Source organism: Homo sapiens, chromosome 13 (assembly GCF_000001405.40).
Source record: "Homo sapiens chromosome 13, GRCh38.p14 Primary Assembly".
Lineage (NCBI taxonomy): Eukaryota > Metazoa > Chordata > Mammalia > Primates > Hominidae > Homo > Homo sapiens.
The window spans coordinates 111,943,070-111,954,977 of record NC_000013.11 but is presented as its reverse complement, the minus strand read 5'-3'; positions in this window follow the sequence as shown (position 1 = coordinate 111,954,977).

Sequence of the window (11,908 nt, the reverse complement as noted above, 5' to 3'; positions counted from 1 at the left end):
GGAGAAGCCAAATGTGGCCACCCATCCCACGGAACGTTATCAGCCCTAAGAAGAAGGGAGTCGCGCCACGTGCCCCAGCAGGGAGGAACCTTGAGGACTACTGTACCAAGTGAAATAGAGGACTACTGTACCAAGTGAAATAGGCCAGCCACAAAATGACAAATACTGTCTGACTCATTCATGTGAGGGACCCAGGGTGGCCACATTCCTAGAGGCAGACGGCGAATGCGAGACAGCTGGGAGGCCTAGGGGGAGGGGCGATGGGGAGTAGTTGTTGAAAGGGGGCAGTTTCCATTTTGCAAACTGGGAAGTCTTGGAGGAAATCCATGGTGGCGACTGTGCTGTGACAGCTGCAGATGATGTGAGTCTACTTAACGCCACTCAACTGTCCACTTAAAAATGGTAAAGATGATACATTTTATGTTATGTGTATTTTGCACAATTAAAAAAAGGGAGCTGGTTCTTAACTTTTCGGCAGATGTGTTTGTATTTGGGAGCTGAGGGTCGCTCTCTGGAACTTTTCCTCACAAAAGCCTTCAGTGTTCCACAGACCCGGGCCAAACCCTGTGGCCCCAGAGTTGTCGAACAGCTTGGATCTGAAATCCTACCTTTCAGAATTTGAAATGTTCTTTGTTCTAGGTAATTACGGGATAGGGGGCTTGTTTTGACATCTTGGGAACTGTGCATGGGCATTGGCCCAGGAGCAGCCTGAAGATGCCACACACACCTCTGCTCATCTGAAGCTGGTAGCAGGCCTTGGAGAAGGTGTTGCCCTTCATTCTGCACCCAAGGGCGCTGAGGCCAGTGTTCACAGTGCATTCATGGCAGGCTGACCGGGCTGGAGCACACTGCCATTCCTGGCAGCTTCTGCTCCTACCATACCAGCGCTAAGGATCTTTAATGTGGCCCTGGGATGCACTCTTGAGCCACAGACAAGGCCCAGCACCCCCGGGGCGTCCATCCTGCTGAAGGGGGCGCATGCCGATGAACAGATGAGGTGTGTAATTTGTGGTGGTGAGAAGGAACACATTGCAAAACCAGGGGGAGGAGTTCCTGCAGCTGCAAAGACCCTGGGGTGAGACGCCTGCCACAGGTGAGAAGTGATGGAATCAGGTCGACCCCAGTGCCTCTGCTCCTCCCATGGCAACACAGGAGGCCCCATCCCTTTGTTAGTGAGCCACAGACACAGTGCAGCCACCGGATGGTGCGGAAGCCCGAGGCCTGCCCTCTGACCCCCTCCCACTGACGGCCATGAGGACCCTGTCCCTGGAGCATCTCCTTGGGGTAAGGCTTCGATCCTTATGCAGAACCATGTGAGGGTGCAGAGTGTCTCATCTGTCACCTGTGCCTTAGTGAGAAAGAGGAACAGCAAGTCAGGGAACCTACTCGGCCAAGGCCGGACACGGCACAGGCCTCAATGCTCAAGGCATGGATGGACCATCCCCGGCTTGTCTGAACTGTAGTCCTGTGTGTTTCCAGGAACGCATGCTTTCTAATGGTTCCTGTAATCCATTCTTATTGTTATTATTTGGAAAGACCTGGAAGGAGAGACTGGTGAGCTGCATGTGTGTTCTGAGCCTGGGTGCCCACTATGTGTCCTCCCTCTCCACGTCCTGTGATTGGTGGCTCAGGGTGTCCCCAAGGCTACAGAGCCTCATTCGCAGCTGCAGCGCTGCTTTCAGGCTGCCCAGGACCCCAGCCACCTCACCCCAGTCGGAAAGCCAGACACACGCGGTTGGCTCTTGTACACGGGAGTGCGATGCCTGGAGACTGTGATTAAGCAGACATTTTCTCCTCCTCTTGACTTTTGGAGAAAAAGTCAAAACACTGAGAGAACAAAATAAAGCACTAAAAACATCCAGGAGTGGCTGCAGCAGCTTCTTGTGGTCCTTGCTCTCCCTGTTGCTGGATGCTCCCAGGTTGGCCAGGCCCATCTCTCCTCCCTCCTGAGTCTGCTCAACTCACCGTCCTGGCAAAGCCCTCACTGCCCCCGCTGCCCCTCGCACCCCTTACGCCCCATCCTCTTACCCCGTTGTGGTTTCTTCACGGGGCTTACTCCTGTCCCGCCCTTTCCGCCTGTGCTTGGCCTCTGGCTTTTCCCTAGGGGAGGGTGAGGTGTCTGGTTTGTTTTCTGTTTTTTTTCTCCAGCTCCTAGGCACTGTCAACCAATATCTATTAAATGAATAAGGGATGAATAACTCCCCACAGTAATGTCAGGAACTTGGAAAAATAAACAAATCAAAACTAGGACCCTCCTAAGTATGTCTTGAGTGCCGTATTAATCCAGCCAACCTACTCCTTTCTTGTCCATTGTATTTTCCAATGTTCAGAGGAATGCGCCTGAGCCTCGGAAACAATTTAATTGGTTAATTGGCTCAGCATATATTTATGGGGTGCAGCATGCGAGGGGCAGGGACACAGCCATTGAGTGGGAGCAGGTGAGCCCCCACCTCTCCCGGGCCTTGCTGTCCACCGTAGGTGACACACATTCATCCAGCCCTGTCCCAGCAGGCAGAAGCTGAGGCAAGGCTTTGAAGGAAAGGACCTGGCTCCTAAGCCACCAGGGATGCTCAGCTATCTTTGACAATTAATGCAGGAAAGAGGGACAGGAGCTTTCAGGGCTGATGTTTCCATGGCTGGGACTAAAACGGAGTTGCTGGCTCAGCCTTCTGATGGCGATTGCATCTGCTAACCAATTAATTTGCGTGCCTGCATCACACTGACCAGCTGCTCACAGGAGGCTCCTCCAACTCAGCGCCTCTGACTTCCTTGGCTTCCTTCCTGCTGGTCCCTCCACCGTCCTGCTGCAGCTCAGCTGGCCACACACCTGACCCTCATCCTTCATGGGTGTGTGGGCTGCTCCTGGGCCCCTCGGCTCCCGACGGTTCCTGGGTGGACCTGTCCTACCTGTTCCTAAGGAAGTACTAACCTAACAACGCAGCATTGAACGAGGATGCGCGTGAGCCCACAAGAGGAATGGAATAGTTATGAATGTGGAAGTGCTCTACCAAGAATGTTCTGTGCATCTCAAAAAAAAAAAAAAAAAAATAGCAATGCCTGCCCTTGTTAAGTGAAAAGGAGGAAAATCACAGAGTATTTTCACCAAAATGTGTGTAAAAATGGACTTGGACCAAATAAGAAAAAAAAGGGCCTTCTTCTCATTTCCTAACCTAGCCTTCCACAGGTGGACTTCTCATCCTTCTTCACGACACATACCTACAAAAGAAAGAGCTTTCAGGTCCCACCTGGCTTCCTGCTTTCTAATCCAAGTCCCCCGCACACTCAAAAGCAAGTGAAGCCCCCCAGCAGAGACACAGTGCCTGATTTATCTTGTTTCTGGTTGCTCTGGGATCTCAGATGGTCTCAGGGAGTGGTTCCTCTTCAGAGGTGGGAAGAGAGCCAGATGCCTCTCTTAGCTGAATCCTGCTGCTTCTCCATGGGGAGAGGGCACAGGGCTGCTCTGGAGCCAGCACTGGGACTGGCACAATTGGAAGGGAACTTCTAGCTCCAAGGACAGGCCAGACATTTCTATGGCCTCATTTGCCCTAGCTGCTGGCTCAGCAGGAGACACCAGGGATCCCAGGCATCAGCAAACAGCACTGTAGAAGCTCACCCAGAATGGCTCAGAGACCACACCCGAGGGCCTCATGGCCCAGGGTCATGCTGGCCAGAAACATGGTGCATTTGTTTTGGGGTCTTCCACTCTGTCCCATGCCTTTGGCTCTCCAGGTGCTGATTGGCTATCTTAGTTCAGTCCTGAGGTTCACAGGTTCTAATGAAACAGGAGCCATGTGGAGTGGAACAAGGGAACATTCTGTGCCTTGTAATGGGAGGTTCCATTCACTGTCACTTGGCCCAGGTGACCATGCCCAGCCAAGCACCACACCCAGCCTCACATACACATTTGAACATAGCTATAAAAAATCAATCACATGAAGCCTCTCATGACGTTTCCTGTTTCTGCTGATGATCTCTGGGGTCCTGAGGAGGCATCCAGGCACACAATGTGCATTTTCCCAACCTTCTCCAATTGACCATCGACCGTTCCTGCTCCACCACCCCTCCTTGCACTTTGCCATGTGTTGTATCTTCTCTGCTACCCTGAGGAACTGGAAGCATCTCACCCCTTTATTAAGCAGAGCAGTTTAGCAATGTGACTTCAATCCTTGGGCTTTCCCTTGGTGCCTCATCCTGTACGCTGAGTGATTTAGCAAATCATGTCTTCCAATGGATGCCCTGTTATCCCCAAGCAGAATTTTGGGGAAGACAATTTTCTCTATTTTATTTCAAGTATAAAATAAAAGGTTGTTGAATGAACTTGAGATTATTTGTTGTAACTATCTTTCAATAGTTACAAAGAACAGAAAATGTAGAATCTGGCTAATTTTATTTTGGAAAATACTTTAAACGTTGGGATTAGCTACCAGAACACAATCTCGATAAGACTACTTTATACATTTGAATTTGTATTTTCAGAAGCATGTTGGTTCAAAGCTTTGTCCCAAAGTTGAAGACAGATAACTAGAGATCACCAACTTCAGCCTAACCAGATATTTAATTAAATTTCATATAAATGGATTAAAGCACACTATATGCAAAGAGTTGTGTTCTGTCTAAACACCACTCTTCCCTGGGGCCTCCACCAAGGTGTCAGACCTGCCTGTCAGAATTCCTAAAAAGCCAGGAAGCTCTGCAGGCAGCTTTCTATGCTGCTTTCCAGGACTGTGCTGCCCTCTCCACCAGCTCCCCTGTGCATAGCAACTGGAGTTCTGATGCAGCAGTGTAGGGCAGCTGGGAGTTCTCACCACATCATCCTCTCTTGCCTGTCAGGGACTTCGCTGACTGCTCACTGATCCACAGTGGCCTCAAGGCCAGGGCTGCCTTGTCTCAAACACAGTGGGACTCCTGGGCGTGTATACCTCCTGCTGGTTTTGGGGACACTGGTAGGAGAGCTTTCTGGTTGCCTTCACCTCCCTGCATGCTCTCTCTCCGTTTCTTTCTTCCATAAACTCCAGTATTCCCCAGGTGCCATCCCCAGCCTTGTCTTTCCAGCTGCTCATGCTCTCGCTGGGTCACAGTTGCTGTTGGGCCTCCCACCTCCTGGCTCATCCTTCTTCCCCATGGCCAGCAAGCACCATCTTTCTAAAGCCTTGTTCCTGGCCTGTCACTGGCTTGCCTTATCATCTTTGACCCCCTCGTCTCCAAAGTCAAGTCCATGCTGTTTCAGGTTGGACTCTTCCAGGAGCCAATCAAAGTCAGTTTTGAGTGCAGGTGACCTCTTTGGGAAGCGATCCCAGGAAGCACAAGGAAGCAGATTCGGAGAATGGAAAGAAGTAGATTCAGGGTGTCTTCACGAGTGGTTGCTGCTGTGACCACTGGGGTTCCAGTCCACTAGGGACCTCAGGGAGATGGCAGACCCTGCCTTGGGTGTCCCCTTGAAGGCTGGGTCTGTTGTGGGGTCCATCGTCCACTCCCATGCAGCATGGCTGGAGGGTGGCATGGGGACTGCCCTGGTGTGAATGGGTGCTCCATGCAGTGGACACCCTCTTACTGCCAGAGAAGCCCTCAGGCCGGGTTTTAGGACCTTGCAGTAGGAAGCCTTTGGTTGTAAGGAAAGTTGGAGGAACTGGACAGGCATTAGAGCACCACACCCTTCACCACAGCACTGGAGACCCTCCCCAATATGCCATCAGCCTCCCGCCCCATAGGACCAGCCTCATTCCGTGTCCTCCTCATGCTCTTTGATGACTGGCAGCCTTTGTTCTGCCTTTCCCCTTCCCCACCTGGTCAGCCACTGACCACAGTAAGGTTAGGCTTGGATGGTACTTTCTCTGCAAAACTTGGTGCCAATTTCAGGAGGATTCCCACCCTTCCTCTGTGATCTCACAGCACATCTTCCAAACCCCTACTGTGGCACACATTGTGCCGTTCATCATGGCTGTCCCCCGTGGTCCCAGCGGCATGGCATGGCCACTGCTCGAGGGATCACACTCTGCATCATACTGGGCCCTCAAGGCACGAACGATAGTTTTGCACAATGGGACAGTTTCCTTAGCTCGCAGGGAAGAGTTGATTGCAGGCACATATAGGCATATGACAATTCACATGGAAATGTATATACATATGTTTCTATCAAGTTTTTTTGAAGTCCTATTTTCAATTAACAGGGGGAGCTTACTTTTTAAGGAAAAGTGGTGAGAAACATTTATATATGAAAAACAGTAACTTGACTCCTTCCCCATTTAACCATTTTGCAAATTTGGATTTCCGAATGCCGAGTTAGTTTAAAGCAGACACGTCTACCCATCACTGGAGACACGGAATGATCAGGCGGGACACGGCTGTGATATTCTCCAGTGAAATGCAATGATTATGACTATCACACAGCAAAATGGATTATGACTATCACACAGCAAAATGGATTATGACTATCACACAGCAAAACGGGAGTGATTCTGCCTTGGGGGCCTGTGCCCCTTCATAGCATCAGAAAGGATCTTTCATCACAGGGGTAGACGATGTACATCCAGGTATGGCGCCTCCCCGTACCCCACCCACCGGTACGTCAGAAGCACGTGGCCATGCAGTGCCTCAGAAACTATAGGCGATATGATAATTGCTAGGACTTGATTTTAGATGTAGTGTTTAGCCTGTTTAGGTGTTTCAGATCATGTCAGTGGAGGCCACAGGATTGCTGCGCATGTCAAAAGCTGAGAAGCAATGGTTGTGTGGTGGAAGTTCCACGATGGTTCTGTTAACTTTCCCCTGTTCACCTTTTTCCAATAAGAATGCTGGAGGCGGGGCTGAAGTGGAAACAGACCGAAGACCCGGAAAACAGCCGTAAAACGTGTCGGGGAGAACGCGTTTTCAGTCAGCGGCTCTTGCTGAGGCTGCTGGTTGTGGGTCGGTCGGGGCTCCCCACTCTGGCACAGCTCCTCTCCTCACTTGGGACTGGACGTTTGTAAATTGCACACATGGACGAACATGGCTACAGACACATTCACACCTGCCAGGCCTTGGGGGGATTGCAAACTAATGTTAACCAAAAAGATGCTGATAATATCATCCCTCTTACACATATACACACGCTGGCAGATGCTCAAACACGAAACAACATCCTGCAGTAAAGAAAACCTTTTAGATGCCAGTTATCTCTCTCTCTCTCTCTCTCACACACACACACACCTCTCTTACAGTATTTTGTGCTGTGATGCACTTTGACAGTGAATTAATTCGTCATTCCATGATCTAGAGCATCGCGCGTCTCCATGACTGTGGAGTGGATAGTAAGGGCTTTCCTCCTGGGTTCTCTGAAGATGCCGCCAGGGGAGAGGCTGTGGCAGGTGCCAGGGGACACGCTGCGGCAGGTGCCAGGGGAGAGGCTGTGGCAGGTGGACATTGCTTCCCTGCCCCCCACCACTATGATCTGTTTTTCATGTTGGGTTCAAAGTGCTTTTTCTCTTGCAATCCCTTTTCTACCCATCTCTTCTTTTCTACAGATAATGAAAATTAGACCAAAGCCTTGTGTGACTGATGCAGGCTCTAGGTCTACTGCAGGGGTGGGTGGCGCAGGAATGGCGGCTTCCTAACTGAGTGGTTTAATAACAGGTATTTATTGTCTCAGCTTTGGAGACTGGAAGCCTGAGATGCAGGTGTCTGTGGAGTTGGTTCCTTCTGAGGCTGTGGGAGGATCTGTTCCTGGCCTCCCTCCAGTTTCCGCTGGCCACCGGCAATCGCCGGCATGCCTCAGCTTGTAGACGCATCGCCCCAGTCTCTGCCTGCACCCTCCAAGGGCCGGTTCCTTGTGTGTGTAACTGTATCCAAATTTTCTCTGTTTACAAGGCTAACATCACAATGGATGAAGGCCAACCCCAAGAACCCCTTCTTAGCTTGATCATCTGCTTTGAACCTGTTTCTGCCTAGGGTCACATTTGCAGGCACTGGGGTTAGGGTTTCAGCATCTTTCTGGGGACACAGTTCCACCTGCAGCAGAGGCTTCTGCCTCTGCATCCATTTCCCAGAAGGCTGCCGTGACATGCTTTCAAGAGGCTGCAGTTCTTCATATTATTCCAAAATACAATAATCGTACATTTATTTATTTATTTATTTATTGAGACAGAGTTTCACTCTGTCACCCAGGCTGGAGTGCGGTGGTGTGATCTTGGCTCACTGCAACCTCCACCTCCCAGGTTCAAGCGATTCTCCTGCCTCAGCCTCCTGAGTAGCTGGAATTACAGGCTTGCGCCACCACGCTCAGCTAATTTTTGTATTTTTAGTAGAGACGGGGCTTCACCATGTTGGCCAGGCTGGTCTTGAACTCCCGACCTCAGATGATCTGTCTACCTTGGCTTCCCAAAATGCTGGGATTACAGGTGTGAGCCACCGCGCCCAGCCTGCACTTTTATTTTTGATATTAAATTTCTCCAGATTCTGTACTCTCAAAACGCTGAGATCCCTGGAGCTTGCAGGTTCGTGGGGATGGAGAGGCAGTGGGAGGTGTCATGGGGAGGCTGTGTGTGGCTGTGGTTGTGGCCCCTGCAGTGCTGGCCCACAGAACCCCTCTAGGGAGGCCCCGGTAGAAGCTTAGAATGATGGGTGGGAAATGGCTCCAAAATCCGGCCGCAAGCTGACCCCAGTGTGTGTTGGCTGGAGGGAAACAGAAGCTCCATGTGCTCACCTTGCAGGAGCAGCTGCGGGTTCCCAGTGCATGGGAACGGTCCTCTGAGACCACGTGGGAGAGAATTAATTACACATTGGCTTTGACAAGCTCAACAGTGGGAAGACAGCTTTCATTCTCTCCCTTCTTTCATCCTCTCTCAGAAAAGCTGAGCATCACAGACCGTCCCAACCACCTCCTTTCTGGTACTGACCAAAACCCAGTAATGATCGCGTGGAGGGTGGATGCTGGGTTTGGCAATTGCTGAATGGGAGCTCGAATGAGGGAGCCTTGGGATGTGACTCATTCACGTCCTCTCTGCTTTGCTCTTTGAATCCAAGCAACTTTATTACATTTTCCCTCACATCAGTCCACTTAAAAAACTCCTCATGTGGAGTGAGTGGGGTTAGAAACAGAGGCTGCAGTCGTCACTGGAGATGGGGCCCTTGTGAGGGAAGCAGATGGCACCATCAGGAGAAAGAACGTTCAAATTTAAACAGCGGAAGAGAACAGGGAAATGCTTTTAAAAATGCTGGGATGATTGTGGGGTCTTTAATTCTCGATTCTCTGGGCATCACTGGACACCCGACATCTGAGAATGCTGCTGGGCTCCTGAAAAGTCACAATTGCTGCCCAACATTAGTTGTTTTCTCTGAGCTCAGGCCAGAGAGGTTTCTCTTCCCACATTATCCTCAGCTTGCAGCCATGATTCTCTAAGCAATGAACAGCCTTAATTTTAAAAAAAAAAAAAAAAAAAGCAAAGAAAAATGCACGTGATGCCATGCGCATTGTTCACCTGGGGGCTTGTGGGGGCTGAGGGGGGCTTGCTGTCATTTTTGTTACACGAGAAGCCCCAGTGCAGTGGGCACGGCCAGTGAGAATGAGTGGAAACGTGCGAGGACCCTGCACATGAGCTTCTATCAGGTCAGCAAACGGCCGCTCGCTTGGGGCTGGGTAACAGGTCAGCCTCGAAAGTAGCAGGCAGGATAAATAGATTCTGTGTCAGTGAGTGGACAGGGGGCTGCTCAGGTGAGGACTGGCCGGGCCTTCATGGGCCGCATTCACCTGTGAGCCCAGTCACACGTGGGCTGCGTTTCAGTAAACTCTGTGTGCCCTTCAGTGACTCGTGGGTTAGCAGGTGGCGTTGAAAAAAAATTGTGATGTTAGGACATCGTGGAGCTCACCTGACTGCAGCAAATCACCTTTCATGTATTTTTGCGAATGGCATAGCACAAACACTGGCTGTCCTGGGAGAGGCGCCCGCTGAGGGCAGGCTGGAAGGGGTTTACCATTGTGTACCCCGTGCCCTAAAAACGTGTGCCAGGTGCAAACGCTACCTGCCTAAAAATAAGTCAACAAAATATAAAACAACAATGGAGGCCACATTCCGTGTAGGTGGCCTCGGAGGAGGCAGGATGGGCTCAGAACCACCTGTGTAGTAACTTGCATAATTAACTTGCTGGGCAGCTGGTGTGAGCCCAGGTAGAGCAAACTAGGGAAAGGCTGGCACGGGAGTGTTTTCTCCAGCATGTGTACTGGATGCGTCCTTTCTAGGCTAACCTGATGTCACTGTTGGGCCAAGTGCCCCATCCAGGGATGCGGGCAGGCGGCTGAGCTGGCCAGGGCACACCAGATGGCAGGTAGGGCCAATGACCTGTGTCTTGTTTGGAATATAAATGCTGTTTTGTGTTGTAACTGCCTAAAAATAAGGCCCAGTCTTATGTGCTGCCTTGACATCTGGTGAGACTGGGAAGGCCTCCAGGGGCTCACCTGCAAGCTCCTCTCTCCACCCTGCAACTGTGGATGAGGGGCCAGCCAGCCACCTCCTCCCCAGGGACAGGCACAGGCCCTGCTGGTCCCAGAGAAGCCGCCTCCATGCTGTCAGCCCCAGAATGACTCAAACAAGCCCGTCACACCTTCGGCAAGGACCAGGGACCCCACCCTCTCGTTCCTATGGAGCCTACCACCCGTGGTGCCTGAGGCTGTGTCTGTCCTGCGTGGAGCCTGGCGTGGCCTGCATGGGGGTGTGGGTCCTCCTCCCTGAGGCTGTGTTGGTGACCAGTAACCCGTGCTGACCGCGGGTGACCAGTAACCGGTGCTGACCGCGGGTGACCAGTAACCGGTGCTGACCGTGGGTGACTAGTAACCGGTACTGACCTTTGGTGAGTAATAACCTGTGCTGATCTTGTCTGTCCAGCGTGTGGTGTTGGGTGTTTGTCTCCATCATCCTAGGGTGGGAATCCTTCCCCCACCAATGGGGTAAACAGGAAGTGGACAAAACAAATCCAAATGAAGTCCTTTAATTGCAACATCAGAAACAAAAAAGGTGATTTGAGAATAACCCAGTGTATTCCGTGGCTACATAAAAAAGATGATTTGAGAATAACCCAGTGTATTCCGTGGATACATAAAAAAGATGATTTGAGAATAATCCAGTGTATTCCGTGGATACATTTGTAGTGAAGTTTGGTGGCTTGCTTAGAATCCCAGCTCAGCGTGGCCACCCGGTTTGTGAAGCGCTGAGCTCCCTGGCTCAGGACACGCTCCTTCACCTCAGACCCACTCATGTCTGTTTCTTCTGCCCCTTTTTATCCGTCCCATAGACGGTGGCATTTCTCAGGGCTTTGTCTTCAACCCCCTTCCCTTGCCACTCAACCTGCCTCCCTGGGGCCCTCACCCAGGCATGTGGTTTCTGCTTCTTCCAGCGCTGACAGTGCCCTTCCCGGAGTGCTGGCTGTGGGCGGAGCCTGTGCGCCCGTGCGTTTGTGCCTCGCCTGTTTGGTCCTCAGGCAGTGTGGCGGGCAGGGCATGAAACAGCCCCTGGTATGCAAGTGGAGACAGAGGCTGGGAGAGAGCCGGTGCCCTGCCTAAACTCACGCAAGCAGGAAGAGGTAAGACCAGGATTTGAACCCGGGAGGGTGAGATGCCATGTCTGAGCTCTTTTTGGAATTTTGTCTTCCTGGATGTTCTGCACAGGCACAGCCCATGTGGGGAGAACCCCGCCCTAGACCCCTCCCTGACTTCCCTCCCAACGCCCACTTCCCTCTTGGACTCAACCACCAGCGTCTCCACATGCATCCAATCACCGTGACCAAAACTCCATTTCTCCTTCTCCCCTGCAGACCGAGCACCCTCTGGGCCCTGTTCTGTTTCCCCCCAAGGTACTCCTGTCATCTGTGGATTTTTCTGTTTTTTTGATAAAGCATTCTGAAATAAATCAAAGCCACCATAGAATTTCAGATACCATCATCA